Source organism: Homo sapiens, chromosome 7 (assembly GCF_000001405.40).
Source record: "Homo sapiens chromosome 7, GRCh38.p14 Primary Assembly".
Classification (NCBI taxonomy): Eukaryota; Metazoa; Chordata; class Mammalia; order Primates; family Hominidae; genus Homo; species Homo sapiens.
This window is the reverse complement of record NC_000007.14, coordinates 138,910,600-138,927,405: the sequence shown is the minus strand read 5'-3', so window position 1 is coordinate 138,927,405 and position 16,806 is coordinate 138,910,600. Positions and strand designations below refer to the sequence as shown.

General features: G+C 44.6%; 1 protein-coding gene across 2 annotated transcripts in view, besides 3 other annotated features; it reads left to right on the top strand.

Moving 5' to 3' along the window:
• KIAA1549 overlaps window positions 1-16,806 on the top strand; it is a 150,009-nt gene that overhangs the window by 53,984 nt on the left and 79,219 nt on the right. For both annotated transcript variants that reach the window (NM_020910.3, NM_001164665.2), the window contains exons 2-4: window positions 7,968-10,658; window positions 14,946-15,034; window positions 16,083-16,260. In NM_020910.3, coding sequence (NP_065961.2) covers window positions 7,968-10,658; window positions 14,946-15,034; window positions 16,083-16,260 — 2,958 coding nt within the window. The remainder of the gene's footprint in view (window positions 1-7,967; window positions 10,659-14,945; window positions 15,035-16,082; window positions 16,261-16,806) is intronic.
• Window positions 2,361-2,879: an enhancer, noted in NCBI's record as "H3K4me1 hESC enhancer chr7:138609273-138609791 (GRCh37/hg19 assembly coordinates)". NCBI's record gives its function as "activates a minimal SCP1, AML or CMV promoter by ChIP-STARR-seq in primed H9 embryonic stem cells {active_cell/tissue: H9 hESC(primed)}" and the evidence as "EXISTENCE:reporter gene assay evidence [ECO:0000049][PMID:30033119]".
• Window positions 9,895-10,415: an enhancer, noted in NCBI's record as "H3K4me1 hESC enhancer chr7:138601737-138602257 (GRCh37/hg19 assembly coordinates)". NCBI's record gives its function as "activates a minimal SCP1, AML or CMV promoter by ChIP-STARR-seq in primed H9 embryonic stem cells {active_cell/tissue: H9 hESC(primed)}" and the evidence as "EXISTENCE:reporter gene assay evidence [ECO:0000049][PMID:30033119]".
• Window positions 10,416-10,938: an enhancer, noted in NCBI's record as "H3K4me1 hESC enhancer chr7:138601214-138601736 (GRCh37/hg19 assembly coordinates)". NCBI's record gives its function as "activates a minimal SCP1, AML or CMV promoter by ChIP-STARR-seq in primed H9 embryonic stem cells {active_cell/tissue: H9 hESC(primed)}" and the evidence as "EXISTENCE:reporter gene assay evidence [ECO:0000049][PMID:30033119]".

Genomic DNA, 16,806 nt, shown 5'->3' with positions numbered 1-16,806 from the left:
GCCTCCCAAAGTGCTGGGATTATAGGCGTGAGCCACTGTGCCCAGCCAGTTGCATTCTTATGCATACACATATATACATATCTACACATGTACATAACACACACTTTAAATATGTGCACCAGAAAACAGGTAGGAAAGTTCGTATCAGAAATGTTTGTAATAACAAACATTGGCAGTAGTCCAAATCTCCATCCACTGTAGATGGATAAATTTTGGTCTATTCATATGGTGGAATTCATGTTGAAGTGAAAATGAAAAAATTATGTACAAAAAAGGACATAGATTAGAAAACCAATACGGAGAGAAATAAGTTGCAGTAGATTATGTACAATGTGATTCCATTTTGATAAAGTTTAAGAACATACAAAGCTGAAGAATATATTCTTTAGGGCTACATACATGTAGTCAGACTATAAAGAATAGCATGGATTTGAGAAATGCCTAATTTAAAATAGTGGCTACCTCAGTGGGAAGGAAGGGAGTTGGGAAGGGTTACACTGGGAGCATCACTGGTAAGGGTAGTACTTTTCTTAAACTGGGTGATCGGTACTCAAGTGTTCCTTGTATTATTTTCATAACATATATATATATTTATAAATAGTATTATCTACTTAATATTTGATAATAAAACCAGTACCAGTTGGAGAGGTAACTTGGTAGAAGATATTGGTGTACATTTTGCGGTGGAGAAACAAGGGGAAGACACTTTTTTCTAAACCAGGAAGATAAATGGAACATGGAGAAGGGGAAAGGATGGTTTTTGTAACGGCACTAAAAATCTGCCTAGGACAACCTGAGAACTAGAAGAAGAATAAAAAGTTGGCCAGGTGCAGTGGCTCATGCCTGTAATCCCAGCACTTTGGGAGACCGAGACAGACGGATCACTTGAGGTCGGGAGTTTGAGGCCAGTCTGGCCAACATGGTGAAACCCCATGTCTACTAAAAATACAAAAAGTGGTTTGGTGTGGTGGTGGGCGCCTGGAATCCCAGCTGCTCTGGAGGCTGAGGCACAAGTCGCGTGAACCTAAGAGGCAGAGATTTCAGTGAGCCGAGATTGCACCTCTGCACTCCAGCCTGGCTGACACAACAAAACCTGTCTCAAAAAAAAAGAAAAAGAAAAAGAAAAAGGAAAAAGTTGCTGGAGATTGCGAAGTTGGGGAGTGGTTTAATGATCAACTGCTTTTGTTGGTAAACTCTTAGAAATCCTGGGGGCCAGGAGCCCTTGTTTTGTAGTAGATTTCATAGCCACAGAGACTTGAGATGACTCATCATGTTTTAGAAACTCCACAATTTAGCAAAGAAGCAAAAGTAATGTTTCTGTCTGGATGAAAGCTCTTTAGAGACACTTGATACTGCTGTCCCTTGGGCCTCCCAGGCCAGCCCTCAGAGGAGGAGGTATTTTCCCAGCGTCTGTGCCTGCAGTTGTGAGCTGTCCCCAGGTGGACTGCGGGGCTTCAGAGTCCAAAACGTGTGCCTGCCCATAAGTTTTAGTAACAGAATTTAGCAAGTGCTTTCAACTCAATTGTACTCTAACATAGTTTAGTCTTTTTTTTTTTTTTTTTTTTTTTTTTTTTTTGAGACAGGATCTGGCTCTGTTGCCCAGGCTGGAGTACAGTGGCACAGTCTTAGCTCACTGCAACCTCCATCTCCTGGGCTCAAGCGATCCTCCCACCTCAGCCTCTCAAGTAGCTGGGACTACAGGTGGTCGCCACCATGCTCACTTAATTTTTGATATTTTGTAGAGACGGGGTTTCGCCACGTTGCCCAGACTGGTGAACTCCAGGGCTCAAGCCATTCGCTCGCCTCCCACCTCCTGCCTCGGCCTACCAGAGTGCTTGGATTATAGCGGTGAGCCACTAGCACCTGGCCATTTAGCATGTTTTTTAACTAAATTTCCTTGCCAACAACTTTAATTTGGTGGCTTGATTTGACAAAACACGCTGTGGTATGAAGAGCCTTCAGCCCCTGGGAAGGCAGGAACCTGTTTCTTTCTGTGTTGGCCCTGCGGGTGCTATTTTGAGCTTTATTTGCACCATGAGGGATTGGCCTAGGTCTTAAAGGATCTATTAAGCTTGAAAAGTACATGATTCCATGATTGACTACTATGGTTCAGGAAGATTTCCAGATAGAAAAACATGACTTAAAAAAAAAATGTAAGGGTACCACTTCGTCTTGCTTGTGAGAGTCTGAGACAGACAAGTGTTGGAGACAGCTGGGCATCTTCCTCACTACTGTATCATCATGGAATTGGTGTGGCCTGGTGGTGGGAGCGCAGGGCAGTTTCCCGCTGTGACGTCCAGCATGGCCAGAACCTGGCCAGGGCGAGGTGCAGGTGCCTGGTAGGCTCCCAGTGAACAAGGGTTTGTTGCCTAAATGGAGAAAAGGCCTCAGCGCTGGCTACTTGGAGTGGGTGGCAGGCCCGGGTCAGCTGGGAGCGGTGCAGGAGTCCGGGGTCCAGCGTCATTCAGGCGGGTGTCACAGTCTGAGAAGCACCCGTCTCACCCCAACCCCTTTCCTTTCTCTGTCATCCAAGAGAGAACCTTTCTCTCTTTTGTGAACCTATGCTTTAGAGCTTGAAAATTGATCTCCAGGGCTTGAAATTAGAGTCCCTGACGCCTTTCATGCTGTGAGAGAGACTCGCCTGGGTTTTCTAGTCTCCTCCTGAGTTAACTGCAGAAGTGATTCCCTTTGGCACTGCAGCCGCTTTGTCCCTCCTGGGGCTTGGCAGAGAGAAAGAAAGAAAAAAAAGCATCCCAGCTTGGCTTGCCTTCCATTTCTTAATACGAAGTTTTTGTTCCCGTCATTTTCTAGTCAGGAGAATTTTTGTGTCCCTTTGGCCACTTTGCCCTCCCCGTACCCTGTCCTTAGAAGGCCTAGTTGATTTAATTCTAGCTTGCATCAGATACCCAGGTTCATAAATTAGCCACTAAACGTTGCTCTTCTTCGTTATTTTATCTCTTGCAGTCTTCCGGTTCACTTCCAAATATAGTTGTGATTTTTTTTAAAAGGGAATTTGCTCCTTGTTCAGATCTAATATTTCAAAGCAAATTATATCATAGCAGTTTTAAAACAGACACATAAAATGATTTATCCTTAGGAAAACATTCAGATTTATATGATACACAATTTGACAGAACCGTGATTTTATTACTTCTTACGTTTATAACTTGTAAGCCTTCATTGTAGAAAAGAACATCCAAAAAAAAAAAAGAAAAAAAAAAAAGAAAAGAAAAGAACAGCTGCTATTTTACTGTGGTCATAATAAGTATCGTGTTTTCTTTTACCTGTGCTTGGGATGTGACAGGTAAGTAACACAAGCACTTAGGCAAGGAATCCTACAGCCAGGTTGTATGGAAGACAACAAATGCTGTATAATATTGCTATGAAACAACTTAAAATATCGATTAAAAAATCTTTGTATTATTTATTCATTTTAAAAATTCATATGATAGAGAAAGGAATATAACCCTTTAAGCATTTTATATGTGGTTTAAGTTGGTGACTTTCAGATGCTAGGAGAACCAGCTAGAAATATTTTATCTATGGCACTAAATATTATTTACAAATTTTGGTATGTAGAAACAAAAATCTATTCACAGAATTTTGTCTTAACTCTTGATCTCCATCTCTGCTAGTGAGTCAACAATACCTCTGGCTGTCCCTCTTATAGCTTCTATGCATAACTTTTAATTCCATATAATATGTCTTTTGTAAACTCACCAATTACATAGGAGTATTACTGTTCATTTATACCATCAGTATTTGTTTAGATTTAACCATATATTTATCTTTTTTTTTTTCTTTTTGAGATGGAGTCTCGCTCTGTTGCCCAGGCTGGAGTGCAATGGCATGATCTCAGCTCACTGCATTCTCCACCTCCCGGGTTCATGTGATTCTCCTGCCTCAGCCTCTGGAGTGGCTGGAACTACAGGTGCATGCCACCACACCCAGCAAATTTTTTATTTTTAGTAGAGACAGGGTTTCACCGTGTTGGCCAGGCTGGTCTCGAACTCCTGACCTCAGGTGATCCACCTGCCTTGGCCTCCCAAAGTGCTGGGATTACAGGCGTGAGCCACCACGTCTGGCCTTATGTTTATCATTTATTCTCTATTCTCAGATCTTCCTGCTGAGGCAATAACCCTTCTATTTGAAGGTTATCCTTATTTAGAAGCTCATTTACTGTGGGTCTTCTTTTGGTATAACCACTGTTAAGCTGAAAATGTCTTGATAGAGATTTTTCCTGGTTATTCACCTCTGAGATGTCAGAGAGTTTCTCTCAGCACTTGAGGATTTTGTTTCATTGTCACCTGGCTTCTAATTCTGTCAGGCAGTTATTTTTGCTTAAGTTTAGCTGCTGTTTCCTTTTTCTCTGACTGCTTTTACAATTTCTCTTTGTCTTTGGTCTATGGTATCATGATGTGTATAGGTTTGGATTTTTCTTTTTTTTTAATTCACCCTCCTTGGGATTTTTTGGTCTTTCTGAATTGCATGGTTCGTTTCTCATATTAATTTTGGCAAATTCTTAGCACTATGTCTTTGAATATTGTATCTACCCTATTCCATTTTATTTTTTTCCTAAAACTTTGATCAAATGTATGTTGGACTGTCTTATTCTGTCTTCTATGTCTCTTAACTTCTTTTTTTAATATTTCACATTTATTTGTTTCCCTGTTCCCTTTTCTGAGTAATTTCTTCAGACCTATCCCCCAGTTCACTAAATCTTGTTTCAGCTCTGTCTAAATTGCTGTTTTACATGTATATTGAGTTTAAAATTTATTAATTATAAAATTTTTATTTCTAAATGTTTTAAAAATATTTCTGGCCAACTTTTATAGTCTCTTGCTCATTACTCATGTTTTCAGTCTTTATTATTTTAAATGAATTAAATATAACCTTAAAAAATGGGTCTCATAATTCCAATATCTAAAGTTTTTATAGATCTGATTCAATTTAGTTGGCCTTTTAAAAAAATACTTTCTTCATGGGATTTCTCTTGACTTTTGTTCATGGTACTTTGCTTTCCTATGTATTTTATAATTTTTACTTCTGTGCTCTGCAACTCTAGCTGCAGGAATACTTTGAAACCAGACTGTGAATATGTTCTTCTGGGTGTGATTTATGTTAGTTTCTGACAGGCGCTGGAGACCTGGTCCACTTTAAATTATGACTCTAAGCATACAGTTGTTAGGACTATACAAGTAGTATAGGTTCCACACTCGGGATGACGTTTCGTACAATAGCTATACAAAGTCAGAGCTGAGACATATACTTTTCCCTTGTTTGGCTTAAACAGCAGAAATTGATTGTCTCACCGTTCTGGAGGCTAGAAGTCCAAGTTCAAGGGTGGCTTCCTTCTGAAGCCTGTGAGGGAGAATCTGCTTCAGGGCTGTCCCCTAGCTGCTGGTGATTTGCTGTCAATCTTTGCTGTTCCTTGACTTGTAGACGCATCATCATGCTCTCTGCCTTCATCTTCACATGGTGTTCTCCTTCTGTGTATGTCTGTGTCCAAATTTCTGCCTTTTTTTATTTTTATTTTTTTTTGAGACGGAGTCTCACTTTGTCTCCCAGGCTGGAGTGCAGTGGTGCAATCACGGCTCTCTGAACCCTCCGCCTCCTGGGTTCAAGCGATTCTCCTGCCTCAGCCTCCTGAGTAGCTGGGATGACAGGTGTGTGCCACCATACCCGGCTAATTTTTGTATTTTTAGTGGAGATGGGGTTTTGCCACGTTGGCCAGGCTGGACTCGAACTCCTGACCTCATGATCCGCCCTCCTCGGCCTTCCAAAGTGCTGGGATTACAGGCCTGAGCCACCGCGCCTGGCCCAAATTTCCATCTTTTATACGGTCACCAGTATATTAGATGAGGGACCCACCCTACTTCAGTATGACCGCATCTCAGCTAATTACATCTACACTGACCCTGTTTCCGAATATGGTCATATTGTGAGGTCCTGGGATTTCAACATAGGAATATTGGGAGCACGTAATACATAAGCCATAGCAGTGTCTTAACCTGGGTTTTCCGCCAGAAAGCAAAGTCTGAGACGTGGGTTTATGTGCATATTTTATTCTAGGACATGATCCTGAGGAACAGAAGTGAGAGACTGAGGAGAGTTCAACAGGGAAAAGGGAAAGTCAGTCCAAGGTGTTCTCAAGTCAGACACTATTAGAAACCGATGCCTGTTTTTGCTGTCTTCTGAAAAGTGGATATTTTTCTTCCTAATTCACTCTTTCCCTGAGATTATGACACTTCCTGGGCCTCCACTTTTGGAAAATGGTCTTCAGTTGGGTTCTTTCCTTATCTAGGCTAACACTTGTCCCTCATCTCCGTTGTGGCCTAAACAACAGGCCAGCTGGTCCAGTACCTGCCTTGGGTCCCCAGTCACTGCCCTTGAGCAGCTCCTGTTTTATTCCTGGATTCAGCACGTTCCCCTTACTGTCTTGCAGGCCATCCAGTCACTTAGAAGATGGTTTTTAAACATTTATTAAGCAATCTTAAATGTTCTGAAGTAGACAGTTTCAAGATCTCTAGTCTGCCATGTTGCTAGAAACAGAATAGAAATGACTTACTTAAAAAAATAGAGTAAATTCAAGACTGTCCTTATACCATTTCACACAGGTATGTTCTGATAGACTGTTGGGATTAGAGAAACGAGGTGTTGTTATGCATTTTGATAGTTGCTCAGTTCTCAGCCTGGGCTGCAGAGGACAGTCCCTGGGCCCTGGGCTTTCATCAGTGGCTGGGCCATCACTTGTCCTTTTTCTCTAGGCTATGTCATACCTGAATTATCGGTGGAGAGGCCTCAACTTACTAAATGATAATGACAGCAGTCACAAGTTAAGGAATACAAAAGTTTGAATGGATGATGGGATAATGTTGGCTTTTGTTGTCAGAACTTGGTATCCTTGGATTTCATTCATTCATTCATTCATTCATTCATCAATCCAAGTGATGTCAATTGAGCTCCTAGCACTTATTGTGCTAGGCACTGGGGAGACAGGTAAACAATGCCTGTCCTTAGGAAGCCCAGAATCTAGTGATCAGATAGTTCATTTCAGTGGGCATGATAAGGACAGGGAGAAGCCTAGGGAGAGGCACGAATCCAACTTCAGAGCATCGAGGATGAAGCTCATATCTGTGCTGCATCTGAAGGGCCAGAAGGAGCCATCCATATAGAGAGCTGGGGAAGGGCATTCCAGGCGGGGGTGAGAGGATCCATCCATGTAGAGAGCTGGGAAGGGCATTCCAGGCGGGGGTGAGAATGTGCACAGCCATGGAGGCCAGAGAGTGTTTGGGTTTGGGGCACTGCAGGTGCCAGAGCATAGCTGGGAAGGCCTAGAGTGGGGCAGGAAATGGTGAAAGCTGAGGCTGCAGGAAGCCTGGGGCCTTCATGTGGAAGCCTCAGCAACTGTGTTGGGGAGCACAGCTGAGGAACTGGGGAACTCTCTTACTTGGGTAGTGAGAGATGCAATGAGTTGTCATGTTCATTTCTCGTAGCAGCCAGCTCCTATCACTGAAGAGAAAACACACAGGCCTTGGAGTCAAGGAAGCCTTATATTCAGATTCCAGTTCCACTCTGTCTGGGTGGTCTTATAATTGATTTATTTACCTTCTGGAAACCTTTCTTTACTCATGTCATAAATGAGAGAAAATGGACTGAACAGCCCCCTCTGTTTCCAGTATCCTACGGTTCTGTGGGAAAAACTGTAAATATGCCCTCCCCACCCCCACACATACACAGCTTAGGTAAAAACAGTGCCCAAGTTTAGGAATATTTGCAGATATTGTCCTGATGGTAATTCTGTCAATTTCTCGTTTCCAGCTAGCTGTTTAACTTCTGACGGTGATTCATGGATATTTATGGTGAATGGATGTTTGTTAAATGAGTAAATTCTCATGCCTGAAACAAAACGTTAGCTGTGTGACTTCCAATGCATTGCACTAACCCAGCTCTGATTTTCTTGATAGATGAGCTCTCTCCGGAACAGCACAACCTTTCTTTATACTCCATGGAGCTCGTGCTGAAGAAAAGCACTGGGCACAGCGCTGCACAAGTGGCCTTAACAGAAACTGCTCCCGGCTCCCAGCACAGCAGTCCTCTCCATGTCACAGCCCCGCCGTCTGCCACTACTTTTGATACAGCCTTTTTTAACCAAGGAAAACAGACCAAAAGTACAGCAGATCCCAGCATCTTTGTGGCAACTTACGTGTCAGTGACGAGTAAAGAGGTGGCCGTCAATGACGATGAGATGGATAACTTTCTGCCAGATACTCACTGGACCACTCCACGGATGGTTTCTCCAATACAGTATATCACAGTCAGCCCACCAGGGCTGCCCAGGGAAGCATTAGAACCTATGCTCACTCCATCATTACCCATGGTTTCTTTACAAGATGAAGAAGTGACATCGGGCTGGCAGAACACAACGCGACAACCAGCGGCATATGCTGAGTCCGCCAGTCATTTCCACACCTTTCGGTCAGCTTTTCGCACCTCTGAGGGCATCGTTCCAACTCCTGGCAGGAATTTGGTGCTTTATCCTACTGATGCTTACAGTCATTTATCAAGCAGGACTCTGCCAGAGATTGTGGCTTCCCTAACAGAGGGTGTGGAAACCACCCTTTTTTTAAGCTCCCGGTCTTTAATGCCACAGCCGTTAGGCGACGGCATTACTATACCGTTGCCCTCCTTGGGGGAGGTCTCACAGCCTCCAGAGGAGGTTTGGGCCACAAGTGCAGACAGATACACTGATGTGACCACTGTGTTGAGTCAAAGCCTAGAAGAAACCATCTCTCCAAGAACATACCCCACTGTGACTGCATCGCACGCAGCCCTTGCATTCAGCAGGACACATTCTCCATTGCTTTCAACTCCTCTTGCATTTGCGTCCTCTGCTTCACCAACTGATGTTTCATCTAACCCCTTTCTCCCTAGCGACTCCAGCAAAACATCCGAATTGCATAGCAATTCAGCCCTCCCCGGTCCTGTGGACAACACTCATATCCTGAGCCCGGTGTCCTCATTCAGACCATACACTTGGTGTGCGGCCTGCACTGTGCCTTCACCTCAGCAAGTTCTGGCCACGAGCCTCATGGAGAAAGACGTGGGATCAGGGGATGGTGCCGAGACTCTGTGCATGACCGTGCTGGAAGAAAGCAGCATCTCTCTAATGAGTAGCGTCGTAGCAGACTTCTCTGAATTTGAGGAAGATCCTCAAGTATTTAATACGCTTTTCCCCTCCAGACCTATCGTCCCACTTTCTTCTAGATCCATGGAAATCTCAGAGACGAGTGTTGGCATTTCTGCCGAGGTGGATATGAGTAGTGTTACAACCACACAGGTTCCCCCTGCCCACGGCCGCCTCTCTGTGCCGGCGTCACTTGATCCTACTGCTGGCTCCTTGTCTGTTGCTGAAACCCAAGTGACGCCATCCAGCGTGACCACTGCATTTTTCTCGGTCATCACCAGCATTCTCCTTGACTCATCTTTCTCTGTCATAGCAAACAAAAACACACCGTCGCTTGCCGTCAGAGACCCGAGTGTTTTTACGCCTTATAGTCTGGTTCCTTCAGTGGAGTCTTCACTTTTCTCTGACCAAGAACGTTCCAGTTTTTCTGAGCATAAACCCAGAGGTGCTTTGGATTTTGCATCCAGCTTTTTCTCAACACCCCCGCTGGAACTCAGCGGCTCCATCTCTTCGCCTTCGGAAGCACCTGCGTCTCTGTCTCTGATGCCGAGTGACTTGTCCCCCTTCACATCTCAGTCTTTTTCTCCCTTGGTTGAGACATTTACATTGTTTGACTCTAGTGATCTGCAGTCATCTCAGCTGTCTCTTCCCAGTTCCACAAATCTTGAGTTTTCGCAGCTCCAGCCAAGTTCCGAGCTGCCTTTAAACACCATCATGTTGCTACCTAGCCGTTCTGAGGTGTCACCATGGTCAAGCTTCCCTTCTGATTCTCTCGAGTTTGTTGAAGCGTCTACGGTTTCACTGACGGATTCAGAAGCTCATTTTACCTCAGCTTTCATTGAAACTACCTCCTATCTTGAGTCTTCACTCATTTCCCATGAATCCGCAGTCACTGCACTGGTGCCCCCCGGCTCTGAGTCTTTTGACATTTTGACTGCCGGGATTCAAGCAACATCACCATTGACCACTGTCCACACAACGCCCATTTTAACTGAGTCTTCTTTGTTCTCAACTCTGACACCTCCTGACGACCAAATCAGTGCTCTAGACGGTCACGTGTCTGTCCTGGCCTCTTTCTCCAAAGCCATTCCCACTGGTACGGTGTTGATCACTGACGCGTACCTGCCATCAGGATCCTCGTTTGTTTCTGAAGCAACCCCCTTCCCTCTGCCCACAGAGCTGACCGTCGTGGGCCCATCACTCACACCCACAGAGGTGCCACTGAACACCTCCACGGAAGTGAGCACAACCAGCACCGGTGCTGCCACTGGTGGTCCCCTCGACTCCACCCTGATGGGTGACGCCGCAAGTCAGAGCCCCCCAGAGAGTAGTGCTGCTCCTCCCCTGCCATCCCTGCGTCCCGTGACTGCCTTCACTCTCGAAGCAACAGTCGACACACCAACACTGGCTACTGCCAAGCCGCCATATGTTTGTGATATCACAGTCCCCGATGCCTATCTGATCACAACTGGTAAGGCCCAGCTTCCTGCCGCCTCTCTGGGGTGGGCAATCTTTCTAAGGAGCTTGTGTGCAGTGCCTGTGAGGCTTGGAGCTTCATGGTTAAGAGCAGAGGCGCTGGGCTCAGTTAACTCCCAGGTAGTACTCCTATGCTTACCTCCTGCGAGTTCTCAGAACAGTTATTTATCCTCTCTAATCGTCTGCTGCCTCACCCATTAAACAAGGAGCTTAGTTAAACCTGCTTCATTGGGCTGTTGTTCAGATGTAAATGCGTTAGTCCCTGCAGAACGCTCAGCCCTTGCCTAGTACATCAGAGGCATGCACGGGATGGTGCATATTAGTCAGCAGTCACAAGGAGAATAAATATTAGAACAAATACAAGAACTAAACAAGCCTTGGAAGTTCTTGGTAGGATCTTTGTCCTACCATAACCCAGTAGGTGCATGGATGACATAGTTTAAACAAAATACTTTTTTGTTTAATTCAAGCAATGAGTTGGGCAACTATGTAAGGGCAACCCTTGCAATTTCTTACTCATTTACTCTTCTTACTTTTCCTTGAAAGGAGACTGCACTTTGCTCTCATAGGTCCCTGTAAATGCCCCTTGGGTCCCGAGGAAAGAAAAGTAAAGTGACTCTTTGCTCTTATAGGTCCCTGTAAATGCTCCTTGGGTCCCGAGGAAAGAAAAGTAGTGACTAAATATCCTCTGAATCCAGTATCAGCCTTTGGTCTCCTCCCCACCACAGCCTGGGTTGCTAGCAGACTGGCCAGCAGCTTCCCTTGCAGTTGCATGGCTGCTGTGGCCGCGTGAAGCTGGTGCCCACCTGAGGGCATGCCTGAGAGGTAGACTGATTTCAAGGGTCATGTCCCGCGACGGTGGCCCGCTTGGTCAGGGTCTCTGCATTTTTCCTCATGAGACATGACAGGTGTATGTGGTCTCGAGGGTCATGACTGTGTGCTGAACCACAGCCTGGTGGTGACGAGCAGCCTGTCCTCTGTTTTGATTTTGGTAGGAGTGGAGGACAGAAATGAAAAAGGGGACGAAAACGGCAGAAGAGGTAGGGAGGAGTGGGGTGGAGTGGACCGGGAAGGAGAGGAGCAGAGAATGTGGAAGGGGGAGAAGGAGGAGAACACGCTGGGTCTTTTCCTCTCTGTGGTCGGGGTTGCTGGGAGCCTCTGCTCACTGTGACAGTGCCACATCCCTCTGGGCAGGTGGGAGCGAGGATCCTGATGGCAGGTACACGTCAGTGATCAACACCCTACCTGTGGGAATGGCTTTGGAGAATGAGTCCAGGACAGCCTTTGCTCCCCACACGCCAAAGGGAAACATTCGTTATTCCACATGGCAAGTAATGATTGAGCACCTAGTATGTGTGAGGTGCTTCTGGAAGCTTCTAGGGATATACAGATGGGTAAGACACGGCCCTCCTGTGAGCAGCTCAGGGCCTAGAGGGTGGTACTGAACCACAGAGTAATAGCAGTGACTGTGGAATTCTCCAAGAGTGGCTATTTGGGATAATCAGAGACGGGTTTGGAAGAATGTGAAATTGGGGATTCCCACAAAAGGAAAAGTAGAATTGTCATCTGGGGATGAAGAGAAAGTGTCTTCTGGGGGAGGAGACTGTCATCATGGCTGGAGATTAGGCATTGTGATGGGAGGAGCAGGTAATTATGCTTGGAAATGTGGTTGGAGCAACATCATGAACTTGAATCTGAAGATTAGAGCAGTCCAGGGAGGAGGGAAAAGAGTTTCTCATGCTCATGATACTTTTCTTCCTTCTTACAAAATTATTACAAAGTAGGTACAAAATTGTTACAAAGTGGTCAGTTGTAAGCAGCTTATTTAAAGAGTCACTGAAAGCTTCTTTAGGAGTCCTCATAGCTGGATTTAACTTTCATATGTGGTGTACACTTAATGACATTTGGTGCCTGTATTAGGTATCCATGTATTTTTAACAGCTCTTTGGAGTAAAATTCAGCCATTGTTAAGTACACTTGAACAGTTTTTGTAAATGTCCAGAGTTGTGTGTGAGTGTCCATGCTGTTAAATTGTGTCTTTTAGCGGAGATAAGTGCCATTTTTGTTCCTGGTGATACCTTTGACCCAGAGGAAGTATCGGCTCATTTCTTACCTTTGCTTAGGTTGGACCTTGCTGTCCTTTTCATGGTTGTCCGTTAGTGAGAGAGTGTGGTGAGGGGGTTGAGGTGACTCCGCGTACCCCTGAAAGGATTCTTCCTGTGTGCTCTGTGATGATGAAGCGGAGCCACTCTGGGTGCTGGGGGTCTGCGATGGCGGAGGAAGCACTTGCCTGCACGCGCCCTGGGAGGCATGAGCCGCGCTTCCACCCAGGGCCTTTCTGACCCTGTGCTGCCTCTGGAAGTCTCTGTCACCTCTCTTCTCTTAGCTCTGGGAAACATTCATTTAGGAAAAGATCTGTAAGATATTTGTTTGCTGATGATCCCTTTTCCCAAAGACTGGTGTCCTCATATCCTAATGTTGCAGTTTTATAGCTTTCTCAGATTCTCTGGAGAAAGTGGAGGTCATGGTGGTGGCTGTGGGGACTTTGCAGAGTGGCATTTAGACCGATGATGTCTTTAGCTGTGTGGGGCTGCTTACAATGTGTTCTTCCTGCTTTCCTATTTAGGGATTTTCTGTTTCTGACTTCCCATTCTGCCTCTGTTTCCCCCGAGTTTAGCTCTTGCCTCCCTCCCTCCCTCCCTGCCTTCCTCCCTTCCTTTCTTCCTTCCTTCCTTCTTTCCTTCTCCCTCCTCTCCCTCCCTCCTCCTTTTCTGTCCCCTCCTCCTTCCTGTCTCCCTCCTCCCTCCTGTCTCCCTCTTTCCTCATTTCTCCCTCCCTCTTCATTTCCTTCCTTAAATAAGGCATCTTTCCTTCTTGCCACTCTTCCCCCTTTCCTTCCTCCTCATTTTATCTTTCCCTTTCAGATCTATAGCATAGTCCAACCCACTTGGAGCCTATGTGGGCCATGCGGAGTTGGCTGCTGGTGTGACTCAGCAAGGTGGTTGGGGCTGTGGATTTGTTCCAGTGGTCTCATAAACTAATAAAGGAGCCTCCACTCACCTTTAAAAAAACTTCAGATCACTGATTCCTAGAAAAAAACAATCAAATATAAATTAAACATTTTTGTTTTAAAGAATGAAGAATACAGAGTGATTCTGTCTCTACTTTAAAAAATTAAAATCAGGAAATGGAAAACAATGATAATATCAAGTGTATTCTAATTCTGCATTATGGGAAGTTGATGGAAGAGGAGAGAAAAAATAGGAAAAAGAAGAACACGCTTACTAAATACTGAGAGACAGGCTTACTTATTAGTATAGATTTTTAAATGGAACTTTTAAAATATGAAAACAGTCAAACAGAACTAGGCTTTGGTTATGAGAAATATTTTATTTCCTACATAAAATTTTAATATGTGGGAATTGTGGAATTCGTTTTTCCCCATGATTAGTGGTAAAAACTCTTCACCTTTGCCTTGAAACATTGGGGTAGGAGACCTCATTTTACAGAGGAAGATGTCATCTGGTTTTGTTGAGTAACATCTTAAGGCCTTTAAAAATGTTACTTCTGGCTGGGTGCGGTGGCTCACGTCTATAATCCCAGCACTTTGGGAGGCTGAGGCAGGTGGGTCACAAGGTTAGGAGATCAAGACCATCCTGGCTAACACGGTGAAACCCCATCTCTACTAAAAGTACAAAAAATTAGCCGGGCGTGGTGGCAGGCACCTGTAGTCCCAGCTACTCAGGAGGCTGAGGCAGGAGAATGGTGTGAACCCGGGAGGCGGAGCTTACAGTGAGCCAAGATTGCGCCACTGCACTCCAGCCTGGGCGACAGAGCGGGTCTCAAAAAGAAAAGAAAAGAAAAATGTTCCTTCTGAGAGCTTTTAAAGCCTCATGTTTTGTTGTCAGGGACATAGCCGAGAGACAGCCTGGAATTTGTCCAGGTGAAAATGAGAACTGGAAGCTCCTTGTCCCCTGGCTGGGTCATCACTGCTGATTCCTGATCTAACCTATCTGGGGCAAAGAGGGTTTTCTTAGTGTGTTGAGCTGATGCTATGCAGAGTTGACCTGGTGTCTTCAAGGTCCCCACTGCTGTTCTTCTCCAGGTAGTTAGCAGCAACTAGATCCTTAACCCCTGTTCTGTCTTGGTCTGGCCTTTATTTTACAAAAAGACTTTTGGAACTGCTAACACATTTTGGCACAGTGCTGGGGTCCAGAAGTCTGGTGTGTTTGTTATTCATAATGACATGAAAAGGCATTTGGTGGTTTGCTTTCATTTGCAGTGCTGGCCAGAAGAGCTGTGCAGGAGTACATCATTACAGCAATCAAAGAAGTACTGAGGATTCACTTCAACCGTGCAGTGGAACTGAAGGTGAGTCCTGGTGGCTCAGGAGTGTGATGTCTGGTGAGACTGGGGCTGATGTGAGAGCCCCAGGTTAGAGGCAGGTGATTATGGCCATGGAATCATTCTATTTCATCTCTTCCCTCTTGTCTGTTCCTGGTTAAGTCCTGCTCATCCTCTGGATCTCCATTCCACCGTCACTGCATCGAGGAGGTCTTTCCTGATCCCACATGAGGTCAGGGTTAGTCCTTTAGGGGATGTGTTGGCAGAGTTGGAACAAAGGGCTCTCAGACCAGAGGCAGCAGTCTGGGGTGACAGCCTTCGTGATTTTACTTCCCTTGATTCACATGAAAGGACTTGGATTCGTGTTTAAATTAGACGTTAGAGTGAGTACAGGTGCATCTTTCTGGACATTTGGTAGGATAGAGATGGAGATCCAAATCTTTTAGACTGAATGATCCTAGAAAGCCACAGTCCATCTAGAGCAGAGCCATCCGGAACCAGAACCGCGCCCCACGCATGGCGATACAGCAGTGAAATGGGGCTCGTCCAAACGGAGATGGGCTGTGGGTGGAAAATACATACCAGACTTGAAAAATGCAGTGAAAAAAGGAGGGTAGAATATCTCATTAATAGTGTTTTGTATTGACTTCATGTTGAAATGATATTTTAGATATATTAAATAAAATGTATTTAAAATTAATTTCACCTGTTCTTATGTTTTTTAATGTGGCCACTAGAAATTTTTAAATTGCATATTTATTTTGGACAGTGCTGCTCAATAGGATAAGTACTCTTGTCTATGTGTTTTAAATACAACAAACAGCTTGAATGCCCTATAACTCATTATTCAGTTCATATTTCTGACTGTTCTTTCTTGCTGCTCTTATAATTTTGTGTTGTTTTTGCAAAGGTTGGCAGAGAGTAAAAGCAGTAACTAAAATAAAATTTTGATTATCCGTGATGCACTACCCCTTCATTCAAAACTACCAGTTTTTTTAGTTTATAATTTTTTATTTTTCTGTGTAACACAACTTCCTTTAAGTTTGAATTGTCTTTGTATTTCTTATTTCCCTAGGTTTACGAACTATTTACTGACTTCACTTTTCTGGTAACATCCGGTCCTTTCGTTTACACGGCAATATCCGTCATAAATGTGCTTATAAACAGTAAGCTTGTCCGTGACCAGACTCCTTTAATCCTGTCTGTGAAACCTTCTTTCCTTGTGCCAGAGTCCAGGTTCCAAGTTCAAACAGGTGAGACAGCTCAGCATAGTTGTTTTTATTTGTAAAAAGAATTTCATTTTTTTTTTATCTTTCTAAAATATTGGAAATCATTTTTAGAATTTATTATTATGATGATGATTTTTAGAGACAGGATCTCAGTCTGTTGCCCAGGCTGGAATGCAGTGGTGTGATTATAGCTCACTGTAGCCTTGAACCCCTGAGCTCGAACAATCCTCCTGCCTCAGCCTCCTGAGTAGTTAGGACTAAAAGTGTATACCACCATGCGTGGCTAATTTTTTTTTTAATTTTTTTTTAGGCCAGGTATGGTGGCTCACACCTGTAGTCCCACCAGGTGGGAGCTGAGGCAGAGGAGGTTGGGAGGCTGAGGCAGATGGATCACTTGAGTTCATGAGTTTGAGACCAGCCAGGGCAGCATGATGAAACCCTGTCTCTACAAAAAAAAAAAAAAAAAAAATTAGACCAAGTGCGATGGCTCATGCCTGTAATCTCAGCACTTTGAGAGGCTGAGGCGAGCAGATCACTTGAGCTCTGGAGTTTGAGATGAGCCTGGGCAAC